Below are 25,080 nucleotides of genomic sequence, written 5' to 3' on the forward strand. Positions count from 1 at the left end.
GATGCAGAAACTAGAAGATCTAGAGGAAATGGATACATTCCTCGAAACAAACATTCTCCTAAAATTGAATTAGGAAGCAATTGAAACCCTGAACAGACCAACATTAAGTTCCAAAATTGAATAAGTAGTGAAAAACCTACCAACCTAAAGAAGACCTGGACCAGATAGAGTCACAATTGAATTCTACCAGACATACAAGAAGAGCTTATACCAATTCTACTGAAACTATTCCAAAAAAATCAAGGAGGAAGGACTCCTACCTAACTCATTCTATGAATCCGATGAATCCAGCATCACCCTGATAACAAAACCTGGCAAAGACACAATGAAAAAAGAAAACTTCAAGCCACTTATGATGAACATAGATGCAAAAGTCCTCAACAAAATACTAGCGAAACAAATTCAACAGCACATCAAAAAGTTAATTTGCCATGATCAAGTAGGTGCCATTACTGGGATGCAAGGATAATTCAACATATGCAAATCACTAAATGTGATTCAACACATAAAAAGAATTTTAAAATATATGATCATCTCAACAGCTGCAGAAAAAGCTTTTGATAAAGTATACCATCCATTTATCATAAAACCACTCAAAAAATCATTTCTTAGTTATCAAAGGAAAATACCTGAAAATAATAACAGCCATATATCTATAACAAACCCACAGCCAACACTGTACTGAATGGGCAAAAACTGGAAGCATTTCCCTTGAAAACTGGAACAAGACAAGGATACTCACTCTCACCACTCCTATTCAACACAGTACTGGAAGTGCTAGCAAGAGCTATCAGGCAAGAGAAATAAATAAAAGGCAACCAGATAGGAAAAGAAGTCGTCAAACTATCTCTCTTCATGGAAAATATGATTCTATACATAGAAAACCCTGTAGATTCCACCAAAAGGCTCCTGGAACTGATAAATGACTTCAGTAGTGTTTCAGAATACAAAATCAGTGTACCAAAATCAGTAGTATTTATATACACCAATGATATTCAAGCTGAGAGCCAAATCAAGAACACAATCATATTTACAGGGCTGGGCATGGTGGCTCGCCAAAGCAGGAGGATCACTTGAGCTGAGGAGTTCAAGACCAGCCTGGGCAATATAGTGAGATCCCATATCTATAAAGTAAATAAATGAAAAAAAGTTCCATTTACAATAGCTGCAAAAAAATACCTAGGAATACATCTAATCAAGGGGGCAAAAGATCTCTACAAAGAGATCTGCAAAACACAGCTAAAAGAAATAATAAATGACACAGTAGAAAAACATTTCATGTGCATGGATTGGACGAATCAATTTTGGTAAAATGGATACACTGCCCAAAGCAATCTATAGATCCAATGCTATTCCTCTCAAACTACCAACATTATTTTGCTCAGAATTGGAAAAAAAAAAAACTATTCTGAAATTCGTATGGTGCCCCAAAAGAGCCAGAATAGCCAAAGCAATCCTAAGCAAAAAGAACAAAGCTGGAGGCATCACATTACCTGACTTCAAACTATACTACAAGGCCACAGTAACCAAAACAGCATGGTTCTGGTGAAAAAACAGACACACAGACTGATAGAACAGAGTAGAGAACCCAGAAATAAAGCCACAGACTTACAGCTATTTAATCTTCAACAATGCCAACAAAAATAAGGAATAGGGAAAGGATTACCTATTCAATAAATAGTTTGGGGATAGCTGGCTATCCATATGCAGAAGAATGAAACTGGACCCCCACTTTTCACCATGTAGAAAACTTAAGATGGATTAAATATTTACATGTAAGACCTCAAACTACAAGAATCATAGAAGAAAACCTGGTAATTACCCTTCTTACCATTGGCCTTGGGAATTTATGACAAAGTCCTCAAAAGCAATTGCAGCAAAAACAAAAATTGACAAGTGAGACCTAATTAAACTAAAGAGCTTCTGCACAGCAAAAGAAACTATCAACAGAGTAAGCAGACAACCTACAGAATGGGAGAAACTATTCACAAACTCTGAATCTGACAAAGGTGTAATATCCAGAAATCTGTAAGGAACTTAAACACATTGAACGAGCAAAAAACAAAGAACCCCCTTAAAAAGGTGCAAAAGACATAAACAGACACTTTTCAAAAGAAGACATACAAACAGCCAACAAACATATGAAAAAATGCTTATCATCACTAATCATCAGATAAATGCAAATCAAAACCACAATGAAATACCATCTCACACCCGTTAGAATGGTGATTATTAAAAAGTCAAAAAACAACAGATCTTGGCAAGGCTGTGTAGAAAAGGAGATGCTTATACACTTTTGGTGAGAATGTAAATTAGTTCAGTCAGTGTGGAAAGCTGTTTCAAGATTTCTCAAATTATTAGAAACCATTTGACCCAAGAATCCCATTACGGGGTATATATTCAAATGAAAACAAATTGTTCTACCAAAAAACCACACGCACTTGTATGTTCATCACAACAGTATTTACAACAGCAACGACATGGAATCCATGTAGGTGCCCATCAACAGTGGATTGGATAAAGAAAGTGTGGTAAATATATATGATGGAATCCTGTGTAGCCATACAAAAGAATGAAATCATGTCCTTTGCAGTAACATGGATGCAGCTGGAGGCCATTATCCTAAGTGAATTAATGCAGGAACAGAAAATCAAATACTGCATGTTCTCACTTATAAATGGGAGCTAAACACTGGGTACTCATGGACATGAAGATGGCAACAGTAGACACTGGGGACTACTAAATGGGGGAAGGATGGAGGGGGACAAGAGTTGGGAAACTAACTGTTGTGTACTATACTAAGTACCTGGGTGATAGGATCATTTGTACCCCAAACCTCAGCATCATGCAATAGACCCAGGTAAAAAACCTGCACATGTACCCCCTGAATGTAAAATAAAAGTTGAAAAAAAGTAAATTAAAAAATGAGGATTTGGCTTCCAGTATGAATCCCATTCTTTTGTTGTTTCAGTGTGAAGATAACTTTTTAAAATGACTGCCTTTGGCGTTTGTCTTATGCTACAGGTGTGTGACACATTTGTTTATGTGAGGAGGTGTCAAGAAAAGTGGGTTCTCAGATATGGTTAAATCTGCATCGCTAAACCTGCTTGGGGTTTGTACAATTTAAAATATGCTCAGCTTAACAATTAGATATCTATACTTTGGATTACAAGTGCCTGGATATCATTATCTGTTTAAATATTTGATATTTGGTTTTTTAGATGTATTTAAAAATATTCCAGGGATGTGTGCATGTGTGTTTTTTACATTGTGATAATTTTACATTAGACTTTATTTGGAACTATTATCAGATAGAAGATAATTAATGTGTCTTTCAAAGCTTTTTTTCCAGTAGGAGAGATTACGGTTATGATTTAAAATGAAGTGTGTGGAATGAAGAAGATCTGGAGTCTGGTTCATATTAAAACATCCCTGTTAACAAATAATTCAGCCTAGCGTTGTGTCTAAAATAGAGCCTCAGAGAATACATGCAGCTTCATTGATACAAGTAAATACCTGCTTTATGAAGCTCTAGTCTTAACAATGTTAAAGATTTAAATATGATATTGAAGGCCATTGTGGAATTAAAAAAAAAAAACGAGGTCAACTTATTGTATTCTAGATATACTTTAATTTCTAAATGGATTTAAAATGAATAGTATGGATCTGAAGTCCGTCTATACAGCAGGAAATAGGTAAGTAATTACAGCTTGCAGTAGAGTTACTTGGAGTGGTAAATGATTTTATTGGAGGTCAAATAGCTGTCAAGAGATAACAGCTCATATTAGGTTCTCACAGTGTGTACCTTTTTTGGAATATAGAGAAAGCAGGTGCTTATTGTGCAAAAGTTATCAGCTGAGGCTGATTTTTTTGTGGGGGAGGGTGTGAAAGGTGGTAAAATGTTTGATTCCAAAGTAAAATAACAGATTTGGGCGACTCTGATTACTTAACCTAATATACTGTTTATCTGTAATAAAGTGATATCTAACTGTTCAGAAATTAAAACTGACATTTCAGGTGTCTCCTATAATATATAACACCGCATATGTCTTTAAGTCAAATCCAGACTTCTTTCTTGTTGAAAAACTATGTTCTAGCTGCCTAGGTAAGTTAGTATAGACCTAGCAAACAGAGCAGTAGGTTTCAGTATTTTTTGCAGTTCACTGAGTGAAGATTAATTATATAAATGAAAGGTGCTGGTGTAATTGTATAGTCTTATTTGAAAACCACAGTACGTGAAATTGAGCCTGTTTTAAAGGGGCTCTGTGTGTGTGTAGGTATGTGTGGATAGAGTTTTCTGAGTTTAAGGAATTTTTGTAAATAAACAACACAGACCTATATTCTTGCTGTTGCTAAATTGTGGTTTATATTTTAGAGAGCTAATATCTGTAGTATGATAGAACTGTGGTTAAGAAACCTAATGCCATTTGTGTCAGGGCTATTTCATTGCTTTTTCCATCTCAGGGAAATCAAATGCAACTTGAGGCAAAAGAGTGGAAATTAATGATATACTGAGATAATATGTGTTTGCATATATCATTTTGAGGCTGTTTTGGAGAATACTTTAGGTGGTCCATAGATAGGCAGATGGGGGTTTTTAAGTACATAAGCTGTAAATCAATCCATTCAGTCAGATCATTTAACTTATATGGAAGAAAGATGAGGAACAATACTACATTTTTATGTGCAGAAATAACATCAGTTATTTAACATTCCCTTTTTGGCTCGTTAACAGCTTGTGGGTAGACGTAGCCCTGGATTATTATTACTTGGTTACCTCAGGATATTGACCAGAGGAAATGGACAGGAAAATGGCAGAAAGATCTAGGGAATGAAGTACTCATTTGAAAAAACAGTCAAAAGGAACAAATTATCAATTATTTGAGAATGAGTTCTTGGAAATTAGTTTATATGTTTTTGAAAGCAGTAGCAAAAGCAGAGGATTTATTTATTGGTACCATTCTAGTTCCAAAAAGGATTACAAAGTAGATGGGTTACTTATCTTGGTAATATGGGTTTTAGATCAAGGTGAGTTGAGGGGGAGAATGGGGAGAAACTGCTTCTCTTACTGCAAAGTTTCCTCTCAACTTTAGCTCTGGACTTGCTCTCACCCTCCAGGGGTAACTTGTTCATCTCCCGGTTGACTAATATGTACTTGGGCAGCTCAGTGGGGGACTGCATGATCTTTTCAGTTCCAGTCTCTAATGTTGGTATCAAGCATTTTCATTATTGATCAAGTTATCTCATTTAGGTGCCTGTATCCTAGTAAAAAGTATCTTGCCTCAGTAATAGTCTGTACATGTAAGCATTTAAGCTTTTAGTATGTTATAGGTCTTAATATCAGTGTTACTGTACATATTAAATAACATTTTGCCTTAAAGCTCTAATTTAGACTAAAACTTGTATTATCTTTTTTTAGGACAGCCAGTAGAGGTGACTTCATGTTTTCTGCGGATCGTTTGGTAGGTGGGGGCTTTTCATTTTCATTTCATTGTTTTGCCTAGTGATATAACCATGGTAGACCAAGGGATATTTTTGTTCTAGAGCATTCTGGGGCTGAAAGAGATTGTACTAAGTAACCATCATCTTGCTAGGCTAATGAAGTGTTGTTTCACTGTTGCATTAAAGATCTACTTCAATACTTTTCACCACAAAGCATTGCCCATGAACTAATTCCCTGTATTTCTGAGATAACACTACCTCTCAAATGGATCTTGGTAACTTGAGTTTCAGCAATTCTTAAGTGCCTCCTCTTAGGGCAGTGAAGTACATTAAAAGAAAACCAAAAATGTAAGGAGACCTCATAGTTACACTTGTGGTATCCAACGAATGTACAAAAATATATATTTCTTGTAGTTTACGGCGGCAGCAGGGGGAGGCTTATTTTGCCTCTTCTTTCCTGTACTAGCCTTCACATGTGAAATAGTACATTTGACTGTCTATGGTTTCCTCAGGCACTTCCTATTAAGAATTGACCAAGCTCAATTCTGTTTAGCTAGTGTGATCTGAGAGGATCTCAGTCCAAATTGGTTTGTCTTCAGGGTAAGCACTGTGTTTTCTTCTTGTGTTAATATCTAAGCATGCTTAGTGCTTGAAGTGAGGTTGACATGTTTTCTGCTGTGGCTATTAGTTTCAATCCACAGCAGAAAATACATTACATTCAGGAAAGTTTAGTGTATATTTATATTTATATATAGTTTAATGTATATTTATATTCAGTGTATATTCATGAAGTTTAGTGTATATTTCATGAATGTATTTCACTAAAATTGCGTGAATCAGGTATTGTGCTAGGCTGTGTCCAGAGAGATGAGATACAATAGTGAAGAATGTAGGCATGGTCTCTAATCTCTTGGTGTTTATGATCTAAATACTAGATTTACAAACTAAGTGCAAATTTAGTTTGGGAAAGAAAGGAATGAACAGGGCTTCTTAGCCCCAAAGTTATAATCAGATTAAGGTAGATGATTAAAAGGAATGTGAAAAAAAGGCATGAAACTTTTCATTTAGGTTTTGCCTGAGGATTTATTCCAAAAGAGCATAGACAACTCCTGTTCTGCTTTTCATCGTAAGTATTCTTGGTTCAGAGACCAATTTTATTTAAAATTATTTGAGTTTTCATTGGCAGTAATAACCCTTAGATAGTAACAAGATAAATGTGGTTGACATTCCTGGAGCAATAGTTACGTCATTCTGTCTTTTATGCTTTTATCAAACCAAAAGAACAGGCTTGAAGAACTTGTATCTTAATGGCTGCTGTTTTGGTGTTTACTGGTAGAAAACGGTTCCTCTTTCTTTTGCTGTTCTTATGCTCTTTTTCTATAGAAAGTAGGAGTTAAGTTCACGGTTATTGTAAGATGCTTCCCTGAAAGGGCAAGCATAATCTTAGCCCAGTGAGATAGTAAGGACCTATGGCATAATTCACCTGAGGGGATAATGATTTGGATCTCTCTCTGTTCTCTGCAGGTGGCTTTCAAGGTCCTGATATGGGGTGAGAAAGGGTCTGTTGTGGTTGTGGTAGAGACTGGAGCTATTTAGGTTTAACTTCTTGAGGATTTCTAGTACACTATCTCCTGCAGCACATGTCATTAATATATATTATCATATATATATTAATTTCATCCTGAATTTGTCAGGGTTGGCTTCCTTGGCCCTCAGATCCTTGGGTTCTTTATATTTTAGTCACTCTTCTGATTTTATGCACTCCTGTAAGAGTTGGGCACACTAATTTCTGTCCCAGTGTTGGAGGGGATGGGGATAGGAGGTAAGACTCATTAGAGGACTGTTACTAGGAGGAAAAGATCTAGGCTCTTCAAAGAAAATAATCCTCTTTTACCCTTGTAATTTGCTCATAAAAAAAAATCTCCACAGAAGATGGTGGCTGGAAGTGAGTATGCACACATGTGCAGTATTCATGAGGTGCCTGGGCCCTCTGTCTGATGCTGCAGGCTGACAAAATCCTGGCTTATTTAGAATTGATTGTTTTAATGGCAGCAGGGTGTTATTATATGTTGTGATAACAGAGCATAGGGCCTGGTGCTGCTCCCTGCTGTTGCAGATTCTCAATCAGTAATGTAATGTTGATTGGATAAAATGTGCATTGCAGACTCAGCATTACTTTTACTGTAGTTGGCTTTGGTTGTTCATGGAATTACCATATCTTGTTTTTGGAGGCTCTTGTAGTAGTTCTGAGTGATGCTTTCCTTTGTACCACACATTATGATTGATATGAGCCTTTTCTTTAGCTGAGAAGCCCCAGTGCATTTTACTGGATCCTCCTTCAAGCTCAGTAAATTGGTTCAGCCAATGCACTCATTTATTTCCTCTAAAGAAGTTTCAGGCTTTATTTACATTATAGTGGGCCTTTGTTAAAAATAATCTGACTTAATGATTTCCAAGGTACTGAATAAAGCAGAGAAATTCCCAGTGAGCACTATTTCCAGAATAATAAGAAGTATATTACTTCCAAGAGTGCTTGCCATGACTGTTGTCACTTGCTGGAGTTTTGTGTCCCTCATAGTCTGGACTGACAGAATGAGAATCAGAAGGAATATTGGAGCCTTTTGGTGACAATCATGGCCTATCTGAGGTTGGATACCTAGCAGCAAGTAGTATGGCATTTGGATCTATCCCTGTATCTAACACATGATAGGGGGCCCCTTACTGCCTCCACAAGTGAAACCTTTGCCTAGTGTGTTCATGACTCTGCCTACTGTTCAGCTCCTGAAGCTAACAGCTAACAGGAGATTCCCAGCAGGTTCTCAACTTCTTCTTCCTTTGACTCTCTAGATCAGACTTGTTGTGGAAGAGGGATTGAATCAGCTGCCATATAAAGAATGCATGGTGACCACTCCAACAGGTAACTAGGGCTGTTATTCTCAAATTTTCCTCATAAAAATTCTGAGCTAGAATGGGGAAAGATGTAAGTAAAGCAGTCTAAGTAAAATAAATATGCAAAATGAAGGGCTAGGTGGAGCTATTCTTTTAAAATCTTAAAAATAAAACTCAGGCATTTAGGAAAGAAATCTGTGTAGATGACTTTTTGTTAAGGGCTTGCTTGTCAATTCAAGTTAAAGGTTAACAAATACTCTTCAGCATGCACGTGTTGCCTCTAATGATGGCCCATTGAGACCATAGTTAAGAATTGCTGGCAGCTTATCTTCATCTCTATGGGAAAGCTGCTGGTGAGCACAAATGGGCAAGTCTGTTTTGGCACTGAAATTACATGTTAAAAAAGGATAGAAAGTAAAAAAGAAAACTAAAAATGATAAGAATTGGAGAAGGTGCTTTGTTCTATCCTTTAATAGAAAGTAGCCAAAGATCCCTGTTTCAGGGATTTGAAATTATGATTTGGTTCAGTAAATAACGTAAAACTGTTCTATTCAAAGGGTTTACTTTATGAAACTTGGGGACTGAGTTTGTAGCATCATAATTGACACAAATTCAGGATGAGACCAAGAGTTGAGCATGTCTTAATAACTATTTCAGCCACTTTCTTCTGCTTTTAAGGCAGAATGGAGGCTCATAAAGAAGAACAGAGGCTCATAAAGAAGAATGGAATGAGGAAGCTTTCTGCTGTGGCTCACAGTGGGGTCCCAGTTTGAATTGATGGGGTATATAGCATTCTCAGAGTGCAGTGATTCTCTTTGAATTCAGTTTGAGGAATGTGTATGTGAATATCGTGTTATAATAAGTCCTATTCCCATTCAATGAAGTCTGCCTCTCCCAATTATCCCCACAGGTTTCTTATGAAGAATTAAGAAATAACTGAAAAATCATGACTCATCTCATTATTTCCACAGGGAATCTCAGGCATTATACAGTGTGTCTGAACAAGGGTTGCTTTGTGCCCATCTACTTTAAACCGTAGACACTTTATAAAATATGTAGGTTACTCCAGTGATGAAAGATAAATTCTTTGGTTTTATTTCCTAACAGGGTACAAGTATGAAGGAGTGAAATTTGAGAAGGGAAATTGTGGGGTCAGCATAATGAGAAGCGGTAGGTTCACGTGTGTGTGATTTTTGTCTCTTTGTATGCATAGAAATGGTTGCTGTTTTCCAGAAGAGAGGCAGGCTTGTCTGTCATAATTGCAGCCTGCCTTTAGTTAAATCTCACTACCTGTGTTATCTAGCCTCATGGTGCTGTGGAGTCATGGCCTGTGTGAGGCTAGGTTTGGCTAATTTTAACTACAGAGCGTATTCCCTAATAGAGTGCTCCCATGGGCAAGCCAGCTTTCAAAGAGATTCAGAGGAGGATGGGAGGATAGGAGGATGTGGTGATGCTATCTTGGGGAGAACAGGTCAGTTTGAAGACTGAGGGAATATGGTATAAATTCGGGCTTGGAGAACTTTGAATACCTGACTGGAGAAAATATTTCTTCTGTTTTTATTTCTGTTGTTGGGCTAAATGACTTGTTTGATATTTTTACTTTTTTTTTTTTTTAGACAGGGTCTCACTCTATTGTCCAGGCTGGAGTATGGTGGCGTGATCATAGCTCGCTGTAACCTCAAACTCCTGAGTTCAAGTAATCCTCCCACCTCAGCCTCCTGAGCAGCTAGTACTACAGGCACATGCCACTATACCTAGCAAATTAAAAAACAATTTTTTTTTTTTTTTGGTAGAGATGAGGTCTTGCTATGTTGCCCAGGCTGGTCTAAAACTCCTGGCCTCCAGTGATGCTCCTGCCTCAGCCTCCGAAAGTGCTGGGATTATGGGCATGAGCCACCATACCCAACCTAATACTTTAAAACTTTATATATGATGAGTACGTGACCACATAGGCAAAAGTGCTTGACTGTCATTAATTCTAGGTATTTCCATCTGCTGGTCTTATGAATGTTGTATTTGTGTTTGAGTCCAACTGATTACCCTTCTAAACCAACCTTTGTATAGCAAAATCACTTGCCTGTGATTAGAACCTTTACCTGTTACATGGGGTTTTTTCCATTCAGCCAACTTAATTGTTTCACGTAAGATTTATGTTTTTTTTGCATAAGTGGTAGAAGCTCCACTTGTTTGCACTGAATACATATAGTTTAATTTTTAACATATAAACATTCACTTTTCTCTTCTGGTTATGAAGTTATGTTTGTGAACAATTAAATGCCTCAAGTAAACTAGGAACTTTAAGCTCCTTTTTTCTAGGAGGAAGCTCTTAAGCACTGATAGCATTTCAGGACATTTCAGGACAATGATGTTCAACTTTTAAAAACTGGTAAAGACAATGGACTTTTAAGGTGCAGTTTCTTCTGTTTCAGTTCAGCTTCTTCTCTAAAGGCACAAGCATGGTCCTTGTACCCTTAGTATGTACTAGATGACTTGTGGTGATGTACAGCATTGCTTATAACCTTAATAGCCATTTGTTGATTTTCATATATATTAGAAAGAAACTTGTTTTATGTTTACACTAGTGATATAGTTTCCTCTTAAAATAAATTTAAGTGAAAACAATAAATTTAAGAAAAATGTTAAGTAAATGCCAGTATTGGTAGAATTCTGATATGGCCTAAAATCTTGAAGATGGCATGAGAATGACTGCCTTTTGGCAAACACTTCTTTAAAGGAATTCAGACTCAAAAATAGCTCTGTGTTCAGAAATCAACGGTGGTAGTGCTAGTTATTATTACCTGGGAGAGGGGGAACAATATACAACTTTTTCACTGCTTGCAGCAAAATCTTTGCTGTTGAGAAGTCATTGTTGAGCTAAGTGATGTCCCCTGATGCTACCTTGACCTAAAAGGAGACTTTCTGATCTACATCCTTTATTCTTCCATAAATCTTTTGCATTTTCTCATACAAAAGTCACAAATTTAGGTGGTTTAAAGGCTTCTTTAAAATAATAGAGATAAAAATATTCCTGATATTAAAAAAGCTCAGGGAGCTGCTCAACAAAATGCTTTATTTCCTATAATCACGGAAGCATGACAGCTCTAAAACTTGTAAGCTAGCAATAAAACTAGCTTATTCTAGTTTCATTAACCAGCCCTTAACCTGGTTTCATTAACCTCCACTAAGTATGAAATATGAGCATATCAGAAATAAAAGCTGTCAGCTTCAAAATAATTATTTTCATCTTCCTTCCTTTTTGTATTAATAACAGTGACAAACTATACTTTGGCCTGTTCTTGGACTTTCTCTCTCTTTCCCCTAATCTTTTTTCTTTCTTTTTTCTTCTTCAAGGTGAGGCAATGGAACAAGGTTTACGAGACTGCTGTCGATCCATACGAATTGGAAAGATCCTGATTCAGAGTGATGAGGAGACACAAAGAGCCAAAGTATATTATGCCAAATTCCCCCCAGACATTTACCGGAGAAAAGTCCTTCTGATGTATCCAATTCTCAGTGAGTGGCTTCCATTTGTTTGTAACCTTTGGTTAGGGTTTAAATTCAACTTAGTGCCTGCCTCCTAGGTACCCTTATATAAAAGGCAAAAAGAGTTTCTAAATGTTTTTTTCTCAGTTGGGAAAACTGCCCCAGGCAGTTCACTGGAGAGTTTTTATTGCATAATAAGAGAATATACAGTAGTCAGACCTTATTAGCCCCAACAAACTTCCGTCTTGAACACATTGAAACAAAGGATTTAATGAGGCAAAATATATGGAATACAGAAAATATATTGAAACATATCTCCTCTTTAGCCTAATGAGTACAGCAGTGATTTTCCTCAATAATTTATTCTCTCTGGAGGTAACATTTTTTCCTGCTATTCTGTTCTGTTTCTTAAGCTTACTCAGACCACACTTGGCATGGTCTTTAAGGGAGGTGAGAGGGAATATGTTAAATTTGATACCTCATATACTAAATGAATTTAGGGCTTGGTATTTGATAACTGAAAAGTGTATGTGTCATGTTCATTATTGAAGATAGCATTAATAAAGAACAAGTACCTTCATATGAAGTGGTTTCTTATGTTAGATTGCTATATTGCTCTTACTTCAAAGACATTTTGTGGCCGCGTGCTGTGGCTCACACCTGTAATCCCAGCAATTTGGGAGGTCGAGGTGGAAGGATCGCTTGAGCCCAGGAGTTTATGACCAGCCTGGGCAACATATGGAGAACCCATTTCTGCAATAAATAGAAAAAGTAGCTGGGTGTGGTGGCACGTGCCTATAGTCCCAGCTACTTGGGAGGCTGAGGTGGGAGGATGGCTTGAGCCTGGGAGGTCAAGGCTGCAGTGGGCCGAGATCATGCCACTGCACTCCAGCCTGAGTGACAGAGTGATTCCCTGTCCCCCCTCCCCCAAAAAAAGAAAAAAGACATTTAAAAATGAATGTTAAGGTTGCTAATTCATTTGGTTATCTTTTGATTTCAGGCACTGGAAATACTGTAATTGAAGCTGTAAAGGTTCTTATAGAACATGGAGTTCAACCCAGTGTTATCATCCTACTCAGTCTGTTCTCCACTCCTCATGGTGAGTTCAGCATGAGGCAGTAACTAGGGCTCCATATAGTCCTGAGGTGGGTAAGTATGCATTTTCTAGCTTCTAATCCTGAGGAAAAGTTTATCTGCTTTCACATTAAATCTGAATCTAATTTGGGTAATTATAACTTGTGTTTGTCATCTGTAAGCTTAGTGATAACATTTTATACCATTCTAATGTTCAAATGCAAATGGAGAAGTATGAACTAACCCCATTTAAAAGAATTGCAATTGTTTTCCTGGTTTGGCCTGCAAATGACTCAAAGGTTCCTATTTCCCTTGGCTCGCCACTTGAGCCTGAGAACTGCTCACAAACAGCAAGAAACATAAGGTTCTAGCTAGCCCTGTAGTCTTACTGAAGTAATCTTTGCAGTGTGAAGTGAAGAGCAGAAGTTTTTAAAGTTAGACTTCTGCTCAAAGGGCAGAGAGAACTGTGTGTTCTCCATTCCTGAAGGAGGTGTACCTAACTTAAGATCTTAGTGTTTTTCGCCATACATTGCAGAACAATTGGGAATATATTTTAAGAAAATAAGTATAGGTGCATGTAGAAATTTAGCTTCTAGGATGTTTATTGTAGAGTTATTTGGTATAAGAAAAAATGTGAAAGTATACAAATGACTCACAATAAGGAAATGGTTAAATAAATAATATATATTCAAAGGATATACTATTATGTAACTGTTAAATCATGTTTTTGGAAAATATTGAATGGCATCCAAAAATGTACATGGTAAATGTAAAAAAGCAGTATAAAAATAACAGCATTAGAATAGGGTAAAGTGTTACCACCAAGCTTGGAGATGACCAGTACAAATTATGACTATTTTAATTACAAAAATCAGAGTTGGATTTAATATGGAACCTAATAAATCTTTCCTTAGCATGAGAGGCTAGACAGACACACAGTGTTGTTTCAATTTTGGTTTCAAAATGCATACACAATATTAATAGTGGTTATTTTAGGCTGGTGGGATTCTAAGTGCTTTTCATTTTATTTTTAAGCTTTAAATTGGTATTTTTCAAATGTTCTACAATGAATTTGTATTTGCTTCATAATTTTTAAAAAGGGCAATATATGGCTTCTCTAGTCAGGTGTTTTCTCATTTCCAAAATTTCTAAGTCTTAGCCAGTTCTGAAGAGGCTACAGTATATCTAGTTGGGAAAGCTGGTTTCAGTAGGTTATTGACAGGAGTTATGGCCTGTTTGATTACTTTGCTGTTTCATAACTAAATATTACTTGTAGTTCAAATGTTGGTGGTAACAAAAGGCGATTTGCTTAAGTTATCATTTATATATATAAAACACAGGTGGCATTGAAAATATTGAGAGAATCCAATAATTATTAAAATTTTTACCTTTGGGAATAGAAAAGCACTCTTTTTAGTTCTAATAGTATACATGAGAATGGTGTACTATTCTTTGAAATTTATAGCTGAAAAATTTTATTCTGTGGCAACTTTGCTATGGATTTTTAGTTTGACAGGGTAATTAAAATAGTCATAATTTGTATTGGTCATCTCTTAAGCTTGGTGATAACATTTTATGTGATTCTAGTGCTGTTATTTATACATTTTTTACATTTTTACATTTACCATGTACATTTTTGATGCCATTCAATATTTTCCAAAAATATGATTTAACAGTTATATATTACATCCTTTGAATATATGTTATTTATTTAACCATTTCCTTATTGTGAGTTATTTACATACTTTCACATTTTTTCTTATGCCAAATCACTCTACAATGAATATCCTAGTCCTTGTTACTTTTCCCTACCTATTCCCCTCCCCATAAGCTAGAGTCCTAACTTCTAAAAAGCTGGCGTGCTCTGACACACCAGCTTTTTCTGTGAAAAGCAAGTACACTGTGAAACACTACACTTGTTTCACAGTGTTTCAGTTGAGAAACCATCATCTTACGTGTGTTCCTCTTTAATTTTTTTTTAATAGAGATGGGGTGTTGCCGTGTGGCCCAGGCTGGTCTCAAATTCCTGGCCTTGAGTGATCCTCCTGCCTCAGCCTTCTAAAGCTCTGAGATTACAGGCTTGAGCCACTGTGCTTGGCCTGTGATCCTCATTTTAAAAAGGACTGTATTCACTCTATTACAGTCACCTTTAAAATTAAACAAAATAAAAAATACTCTTTAGGGGGAAAGTTTCTATAACTGAACAATTATATTTTTCAACTTGAGTATAAAATAATAATTCTAAGAATGTATTAGTGAGATGGAGGGGGCATAATCTGACTACTGTCAAAGCTTTTCAGACTTTATACAAAGGAAGAGATTAACCAAGTCTGATTAGGTATCCAAAGATCATTGCTCTCTGTCTTCTCTCAATTTTAGACCTAGTGGCAATAACTACAAAATTCCTGAATTACAACTGGTGTTACCAAAACATCCTACCATAATAACTTTTGTTTTTTTGAAGGTGCCAAATCAATCATTCAGGAGTTTCCAGAGATCACAATTTTAACTACTGAAGTTCATCCTGTTGCACCTACACATTTTGGACAGAAATACTTTGGAACAGACTAAGTTATTTAAGTAAAATAATTATCTTATGTAATATTACAATCATGTTTTGATTTTCTATTTGTTTTACTGATTCACTTGAGGGTGGCAGAGAAAAATGTGTTAAAATGCTTTTTAGTTTTGGAAGTGGGTATATTTGAGGTTATATCTCATTTAGTTATTTGTTTACTGTTGGCACCGAATTCAACAATGAAGTATATGCAACTCTTACAAAACATAAATTTTAATAATATTCTAATGCAAATTACTGAACCCTCAGTGCATTAAAATTATTTCCTAATTTATGAGCCTCTTAGTTTGGAGGTTGCTTGAAGCCACAAATAAAACTCAAATGAGAGTCAGTTCTTTGTCCCACTGTAGTTTGCATTTTGTTTAGTTTGGTTTTAGCTCTACTAAGGTTTCACATATGTGGCTATTGCCACATTCCTCTACTGTTTTCTTTCTGATACTGGACATGCTAGTAACTTGGAGAGGAGAATAAAAGAATGTCTCCTGGAATTTTACATTCCCATTAATGTCCTCATTCAGTTGGCAGACCTAGGATGTATGGTTAACTCTCAGGCCATTATGTTTTTCATGGCTCATTTCCCAAACTGCATTGTTGGTAGGTGCCTTGCTAAGCTGTAATGCAGTGAAGAAGATGGTGGGGCATTTTTAGTAATTGGAACTGTAACATTAATTTACAAGATTGAACCGGGGATGTCTGGATGCTGACAAGGGAGAGCCAAGTACTGTTAATGCCATCAATCCTCTAGGAAGGAATTGGTGGTTTTTCTGAAGTGTGGGGGAAAGGGTGGTTTCTTGCTGGATTTCATGGCCAGTAAGTAAATTTAAATGCTTCATTTTTAATTTGGATGTTTCTGCTAGAGACCTTTGATTTGGAAATTAGTTATTTTGCATGTTTGTCAACTGTATATGTATGAAAATAGAAAAAAACCATGCTTTTTGTAAAAACCCCTAAGATTTGTATATGTTCATCTTTAGGCTTCTGAAAGGGAGAGAAATCATATTGGAAATCAGTGTTGGTGTTCTGAAATCTGCTTGTAAAACTCTCATCTCATTTTACATTGATATTAAAACATTTTAACAGTGTTGGCTAGCTGATTACTTGATTAATTATACTCCCATGGCCCCATAGGAAGCTGTTGTGGGCCTCTGTTCAAAAGCACAGAAAAGAGCAGAAGGAAATGTCTTAGAAAGAATCAAAGCTGATGAAATCAGCAAAGATTGGGGGAAAGGAAGGAAGCCTGGTGTAGATTGGATTATATTTTTCCTTTGGGGACTAGAATACTAGAAGAACTTCAGTATATTTTTCCCTTTATTTTTGAATACTGTCATATAATAAATTGAGATTAATAAATTACTCATATTACAGTTCTTCCATGGCAAATGTTGCTTTCAAGTTGTTACTGAAATTCTCATCTATACTTGTCAGTTAACTGTCTTGATACAGTGTGGATTTTGTTTACTCCTGACTAGCAGAAGTTATAACTAAAGCCCGTTAAAGCTAGAATTTCTATCTCCCTCTCCCAGCACAGATGTGAACCAGCAAATTTAGATGGAGAACAGATATGCTTGAGATTGGTGCATCAAACTAGTTGAAAAGATGATGCCTACCACTATAGGAGTTAATGCTTCTAAATTATTGCTTATGTTAGGGCTTCAGTATTTCATTTGAGGTGACTTTCCAAAACAGCAGACAAATTTATATTCAAGTGTAGATATAAAACCATATTTTAAGCAAATTATTTTTGTATTACCAGCCATTTAGATTTAACATGTCTTTGTTCCTCGATTGATATTTAGTTGACTACATTTGGTTCCCACATGAAGGGCCTAGAATGAGCAGTAGGAAGTATTCAATGAGGTCATAGTCGCCCCTGATATTTGTCTTCTATCCCTCTCTAGATTTCAAGAAAATTATACCTATGGGTTTTGAAGTTTGGGTCTTTTTAGCAAATGAGGCATTATTTGTAGGGTTAATCACTTGCAGGACTCTGAGCGTGGGACATTTTTTAAGTATTCTAAATTTAACACAAGATTAACAGACTATTGAAAACAACATTGTTTTTAAGTAATATGAACTTCAGAGTAGTATAAACTTTGTATATTCCTTGCTGAAGAACACACCCTAGCACAATAAAAAGAACAGTCCAATCGTATATGCAGTGGTTCTCAAAACTTGAATGTGCATCAGAATCACCTAGAGGGCCACAGATTGCTGTGGCCTAACAAGTTCCCACGAGATGCTAACATTGTTTTGGAGACCATATTTTGATTTAAGACATTTCTTTTATAATAGAAGCATTTAATGTTATAAGTTTTCCTATAAATATTGATTTAGCTGTACCTCACAAATTTTGATATAGAATGTTTCATTTTCATTTATATTAAAATAATTGCTCATTTTTCATTTCTTCTTTGACCCAGGGTTATTTAGAAACATGTCATTTAATTTCCAAATATGGGATTTTCCAGATTTCTTTCTGTTATTGCTTTCTAATTTAATCCCACTGTGGTGAGAGAATATACTTCTTATTATTTGAATCCTTTTAAATTTATGGAGACTTGTTTTATGGCCCAGAATATAGTCTCTTCTGGTAAATCTTCCATGGGTGCTTGAAAACTATGTTTTATCCTGCCATTTTTGGATAGAGTGTTCTATGTCAATTAGGTTAAGTTGGTTGATAGTGTTGTTCAAGTCTACTTTACTGATTTTCTCTTTTTTCATCTGCTCCTTCTGAGGCAACTTTATTGACTTTCTGTCTACTTATTCTATCAGTTGTTGGGAGAGATCGATGAAATCTCTGACTAAAATTTATATTTGTTTGTTTCTCCTTTCAGTTTTATCAGTTTTTGCTTTATGTATTTTGAAGCTTTGTTGTTAGGAGTGTAAACTTTTAGGATTGTTATGTTCTCTTGATAAGCTGACTCATTATCATGAAATATTCCCTTTTATCCCTGTTATTCTTCTGAAATCTACTTTGCCTGATGTTAATGTAAATATTCTGGCTTTCTTTTGAATAATACTAACATGGCATATCTTTGTTCATCCTTTTACTTTTTTTTTTTTTGAGATGGAGTCTCATTCACTCTGTCACCCATGCTGGAGTGCAATGGCGTGATCTTGGCTCACTGCAACCTCTGCCTCCTGGGTTCAAGTGATGCTCCTGTCTCAGCCTCCCAAGTAGCTGGGACTACAGACGTATACTGCTATGCCTGGATAATTTGTATATTCTTAGTGGAGACGGGGTTTCACCACATTGGCCAGGCTGGACTCGAACTCCTGACATCAAGTGATCTGCCCGCCTCAACTTTTCAAAGTGCTGGCATTACAGGTGTGAGCCACCATGCCTGGCCTCATCCTTTTACTTTTAACTTATGTGTGGGGTTTTTTTGAGACAGGGTCTCAGTCCATCACCCCGGCCGGAATGCAATGGCATGATCATAGCTCACTGTAACCTTGAACTCCTAGGTTAAAGTGATCCTCCTGCCCCAGCCTCCCAAGTAGCCAGGACTACAGGCATGCGTCACTACACCTGGCTAATTTTTAATTTTTCTGTAGAGATGGGGTCTTGCTATGTTGCCCAGGCTGATCTTGAACTCTTGGCATCAAGGGATCCTCCCACTTTAGCCTCCCAAAGCCATGAGATCACATGTTTGAGCCATCACACCCAGCCCTATTTGTGTTTTTATAGATTTTTTAAATTAAACATTTCAAAATTTTATTTCTAGAGACAGAGTCTTGCAATATTGCCCATGTTGGACTTCAACTCCTATTTCCTGAGTAGCTGGGATGACAAGCATGTGCCACCACACCTGAATTGTTTTTATATTTAATCTGGGTTTCTTATAGGTAACCTAGAGTTGGGCCTTGCTTTATTTTTCCAATTTGACAGTCTCTGCCTTCTAATCAGGATGTTTAGACCATTTTTATTTAATGTGATTATTGATATGATTGGTTTAAAATCTACCATCTTGCTATTTGCCTTCTATTTGTTCATTATTCACTTTTTCCTCTTTTTCTACCTTCTTTTGCATTATTATTTATTATTCCATTTTATCCATTTGGATTATATTAGATGCAATACTTTCTTCTTTTAGTGGTTCCTTTAGGGTTTATAGTATATAACTTTAATTTATCACAGCCCACTTCAAGCGTAAGATAAGAACTTCATGTACTTCTATTCCCCCACTCGAGTCTGTTCCCTATTATTGTCATGTTTTACTTCTACACATGTTAAACCTTATAATACATTGTGGGTTTTTGTTTGTTTTTGATACTTTTAAAGTGATATAAAAAGAAATAAGAAAAAAGGTATTTTCATTTTTTTAAATATACTTTAAGTTCTGGGATACATGTGCAGAACGTGCAGGTTTGTTACATAGGTATACATGTGCCATGGTGGATTGCTGCACCCATCAACCTGTCATCTAGGTTTTGAACCCCACATGCATTAGATATTTGTCCTAATACTATCCTTCCCCTTGCTCCCCATGCCCCAACTGGCCCAGTGTGTGATGTTACCCTCCCTTTGTCCATGTATTCTCATTGTTTAACTCCCACTTGTGAGTGAGAACATGTGGTGTCTGGTTTTCTGTTCCTGTGTTAGTTTGCTGAGAATGATGGCTTCATCCGTGTCCCTGCAAAGGACATGAATTCATTCTTTTTTATGGCTGCATAGTATTCCATGGTGTATATGTGCCACATTTTCTTTATCCAGTCTATCATTGATGGGCATTTGGGTTGGTTCCAAGTCTTTGCTATTGTAAATAGTGCTGCAATAAACATACGTGTGCATGTGTCTTTATAGTAGCATGATTTATAATCTTTGGGATATACCCAGTAATGGGATTGTGGGTCAAATGGTATTTCTGGTTCTAGATCCTTGAGGAATCGCCACACTGTCTTCCACAATGGTTGAACTACTTTACACTCCCACCAACAGTGTAAAAGCATTCCTATTTCTGCACATCCTCTCCAGCATCTGTTGTTTCCTGAGTTTTTAATGATTGCCATTCTAATTGGTGTGAGATGGTATCTCATTGTGGTTTTGATTTGCATTTCTGTAATGACCAGTGATGATGAGCTTTTTTTCCAATGTTTGCTGGTTGCATAAATGTCTTCTTTTGAGAAGTGTCTGTTCATATCCTTCACCCACTTTTTGATGGGGCTGTTTTTTTCTTGTAAATTTGTTTAAGTTCCTTGTAGATTCTGGATATTAGACATTTGTCAGATAGATAGATTGCAAAAATTTTTGCCCATTCAAAAGGTAGCCTGTTCACTCTAATGATAGTTTTTTGTTTTTTTTTTTCTGTGCAGAAGCTCTTTAGTTTAATTAGATCCCATTTGTCAATTTTGGCTTTTGTTGCCATTGCTTTTGGCATTTTAGTCATTAAGTCTTTGCCCACGCGTATGTCCTGAATGGTATTACCTAGGTTTTCTTCTAGGGTTTCTATGGTTTTAGGTCTTACATTTTAGTCTTTGATCCATCTTGAGTTAATTTTTATATGAGGTGTAAGGAACGGGTCCAGTTTCAGTTTTCTGCATATGGTTAGCCAGTTTTCCTAACACCATTTATTAAATAGGGAATCCATTCCCCATTGCTTGTTTTTCTCAGGTTTGTCAAAGATCTGATGGTTGTAGTTGTGTGGTATTATTTCTGAAGTCTCTGTTCTGTTCCATTGGTCTATATATCTGTTTTGGTACCAGTACCATGCTGTTTTGGTTACTGTAGCCTTGTAGTATAGTTTGAAGTCAGGTAGGGTGATGCTTCCAGCTTTGTTCTTTTTGGTTAGGATTGTCTTGGCTATACAGGCTCTTTTTTGGTTCCATATGAAATTTAGTTTTTTCTAATTCTGTGAAGAAAGTCAATGGTAGCTTGAAGGGGATAGCATTGAATCTATAAATTACTTTGGGTAGTATGGCCATTTTCACAATATTGATTCCTCCGATCCATGAGCATGGAATGTTCTTCCATTTGTTTGTGTCCTCTCTTATTTCCATGAGCAGTGGTTTGTAGTTCTCCTTGAGGAAGTCCTCTACGTCCCTTTAAGTTGTATTCCTAGGTATTTTATTCTCTTTGTAGCAACTGCGAATGGGAGTTCACTCATGATTTGGCTCTCTGTTTGTCTATTATTGGTGTATAGGAATGCTTGTGATTTTTGCACATTGATTTTGTGTCCTGAGACTTTGCTGAAGTTGCTTATCAGCTTAAGGAGATTTTGGGCTGAGACAATGGGGTTTTCTGAATATACAGTCATGTCATCTGCAAACAGAAAGAATTTGACTTCCTCTGTTCATATTTGAATACCCTTTGTTTCTTTCTTTTGCCTGATTGCCCTGGCCGGAACTTCCAATACTATGTTGAATAGGAGTGGTGAGATAGGGCATCCTTGACTTGTGCCAGTTTTCGAAGAGAATGCTTCCAGCTTTTGCCCATTCAGTATGATATTGGCTGTGGGTTTGTCATAAATAGCTCCTATTATTTTGAGATATGTTCTATCAATACCTAGTTTATTGAGTGTTTTTAACATGAAGATGTGTTGAATTTTATTGAAGTCCTTTTCTGCATCTATTGAGAAAATCATGTGGTTTTTGTTGTTGGTTTTGTTTATGGGACGGATTACGTTTATTGATTAGTGTATGTTGAACCAGCCTTGCATCCCAGGGATGATGCCCACTTGATCATGGTGGATAAGCTTTTTGATGTGATACTGGATTTGGTTTGTCAGTATTTTATTGAGGATTTTTGTTTCAATGTTCTTCAGGGATATTTGCCTGAAATTTTCTTTTTTTTGTTGTGTCTCTGCCAGTCTTTGGTATCAGGATGATGCTGGCCTCATAAAATGAGTTAGGGAGGAGTCCCTCTTTTTCTATTGTTTGGAATAGTTTCAGAAGGAATGGTAGCAGCTCTTCTTTGTACCGCTGGTAGAATTCGACTGTGAATCCATCTGGTCCTGGGCTTTGTTTTTGGTTGGTAGGCTATTAATTACTGCCTCAATTTCAGAACTTGTTATTGGTATATTCAGGGATTCGACTTCTTCCTGGTGTAGTCTTGGGAGGGTGTATGTGTCCAGGAATTTTTCCATTTTTTTCTAGATTTTCTAGTTTATTTGTGTAGAGATGTTTATAGTGTTCTCTGATGGTAGTGTGTTTTTCTGTGGTGTCAGTGGTGATATCCCCTTTATCATTTTTTTATTGTGTCTATTTGATTCTTCTCTCTTTTCTTCTTTGTTAGTCTGGCTAGCAGTCTATTTTTTTAATCTTTTCAAAAAACCAGCTCCTGGATACATTTTTTTTGAACCGTTTTTCCCGTCTCTATCTCCTTCAGTTCTGCCCTGATCTTAGTTATTTCTTGTCTTCTGCTAGCTTTTGAATTTGTTTGCCCTTGCTTCTCTAGGTCTTTTTATTGTGACGTTAGGGTGTTGATTTTAGATCTTTTCTGTTTTCTCCTGTGGGCATTTAGTTGTATAAATTTCCCTCTAAACACTGCTTTAGCTGTATCCCAGAGATTCTGGTATGTTGTGTCTTTGTTCTCATTGGTTTCAAATAACTTATTTATTTCTGCCTTATTTTCGTTATTTGCCCAGTACCCATTCAGGAGCAGGTCGTTCCATTTCCATGTAGTTATGTGGTTTTGAGTGATTTTTTTTTTTTTTTTTTTTTTTTTTGCGATGGAGTCTTGCTCTGTCACCCAGGCTGGAGTGCAGTGGCGCGATATTGGCTCACTGCAAGCTCCGCCTCCTGGGTTCATGCCATTCTCCTGCCTCAGCCTCCCTAGTAGAGTAGCTGGGACTACAGGCGCCCACCACCACACCTGGCTATTTTTTTTGTATTTTTAGTAGAGATGGGGTTTCACTGTGTTAGCCAGGATGGACATGATCGCCTGACCTTGTGATCTGCCTGCCTTGGCCTCCCAAAGTGCTGTTGAGTGATCTTCTTAATCCTGAGTTCTAATTTGATTGCATTGTGGTCTGGAGAGTCTGGTTTTTATGATTTCTATTGTTTTGCATTTGCTGAGGAGTGTTTTACTTCCAATTATGTGGTCAATTTTAGAATAAGTGCGATGTGGTGCTGAGAAGAATGTATATTGTTGATTTGGGGTGGAGAGTTCTGTACATGTCTATTAGTTCTGCTTGGTGCAGAGCTGAGTTCAAGTCCTGAATATCCTTGTTAATTTTCTGTCTCATGATCTGTCTAATACTGACAGTGGTGTGTTAAAGTCTCCCACTATTATTGTGTGGGAGTCTAGGTCTCTTTGTAGGTCTCTAAGAACTTGCTTTATGAATCTGGGTGCTTCTGTATTGGGAGCATATACATTTAGGATAGTTAACTCTTCTTGTTGCATTGATCCCTTTACCATTATGTAATGTCCCTCTTTGTCTATTTTGATCTTTGTTGGATTAAAGTCTGTTTTATCAGAGACGAGGATTGCAACCCCTGCTTTTTTTTTGCTTTCCATTTGCTTCATAAGTACCCCTCCATCCCTTTATTTTGAACCTATGTGTGTCTCTGCATGTGAGATGGGTCTCCTGAATACAGCACACCAATGGGTATTGACTCTTTATCCAATTTGCCCATCTGTGTCTTTCATTTGGGGCTTTTAGCACATTTACATTTAAGGTCAATATTGTTATGTGTGAATTTGATCCTGTCATCATGATGCTAGCTAGTTACTTTGCACATTACTTGATGCAGTTTCTTCATAGTGTCATTTGTCTTTATATTTTGGTATGTTTTTGCAGTGGCTGGTACCAGTTTTTCCTTTCTATATTTAGTGCTTCCTTTGGTATCTCTTGTCAGGCAGGCCTGGTGGTGACAAAATCCCTCAGCATTTGCTTGTCTGGAAAGGATATTATTTCTCTTTTGCTTGTGAAGCTTAGTTTGGCTGTATATGAAATTCTGGGTTGAAATTCTTTTCTTTAAGAATGTTGAATATTGGCCCCTACCCTCTTCTGCCTTGTAGGGTTTCTGCAGAGGCATCCATTGTAAGACTGATGGGCTTCCCTTTGTAGGTAACCTGACCTTTCTAACTGGCTGCCCTTAACATTTTTTCCTTCATTTCAACCTTGGTGAATCTGACGATTATATTTTGGGGTTGCACTTCTCAAGGAGTATCTTAGTGGTGTTCTCTGTATTTCCTGAATTTGAATGTTGACCTGTGATGTTCTCTGTATTTCCTGAATTTGAATATTGGCCTGTCTTTCTAGGTTTGGAACGTTCTCCTGGATGTCATCATGAAGTGTGTTTTCCAACTTGTTTCCATTCTCCCCCTCACTTTCAGGTACACCAATCAATCATAGGTTTGGTCTTTTCACATAGTCACATATTTCTTTGAGGCTTTGTTTGTTCCTTTTCATTACTTTTTTCTCTAATCTTGTCTTCACGCTTTATCTCATTAAGTTGATCTTCAATCTTTGATATCCTTTCTTTCGCTTGATCGATTCGGCTATTGATACTTGTGTATGCTTCACGAAGTTCTCGTACTGTATTTTTCAGCTACATCAGATCATTTATGTTCTTCTCTAAACTGGTTATTCTAGTTAGCAGTTCCTATAACTTTTTATCAAGGTTCCTAGCTTCCTTGCATTGGGTTAGAATATCCTACTTTAGCTGGAATC

At 36.7% G+C, this 25,080-nt stretch overlaps 1 protein-coding gene across 6 annotated transcripts in view; it reads left to right on the top strand.

The window, feature by feature from the left end:
• UPRT (uracil phosphoribosyltransferase homolog) overlaps positions 1-16,845 on the top strand; it is a 148,529-nt gene extending 131,684 nt beyond the window's left edge. For 2 of the 6 annotated variants that reach the window (NM_001363821.1, XM_047441832.1), the window contains 6 exons: positions 5,420-5,462; positions 8,290-8,359; positions 9,439-9,501; positions 11,683-11,844; positions 12,815-12,913; positions 15,353-16,845. In NM_001363821.1, coding sequence (NP_001350750.1) covers positions 5,442-5,462; positions 8,290-8,359; positions 9,439-9,501; positions 11,683-11,844; positions 12,815-12,913; positions 15,353-15,459 — 522 coding nt within the window. In that variant the 5' untranslated portion in view covers positions 5,420-5,441 and the 3' untranslated portion in view covers positions 15,460-16,845. Of the gene's footprint in view, positions 1-5,419; positions 5,463-6,510; positions 6,569-6,966; positions 8,360-9,438; positions 9,502-11,682; positions 11,845-12,814; positions 12,964-15,352 lie in introns of those variants that run through there. The other 4 variants (NR_030774.1, NM_001307944.1, NM_145052.4 and 1 more) reach the window with 4 other exon arrangements.

This window comes from Homo sapiens, chromosome X, assembly GCF_000001405.40.
Source record: "Homo sapiens chromosome X, GRCh38.p14 Primary Assembly".
Classification (NCBI taxonomy): Eukaryota; Metazoa; Chordata; class Mammalia; order Primates; family Hominidae; genus Homo; species Homo sapiens.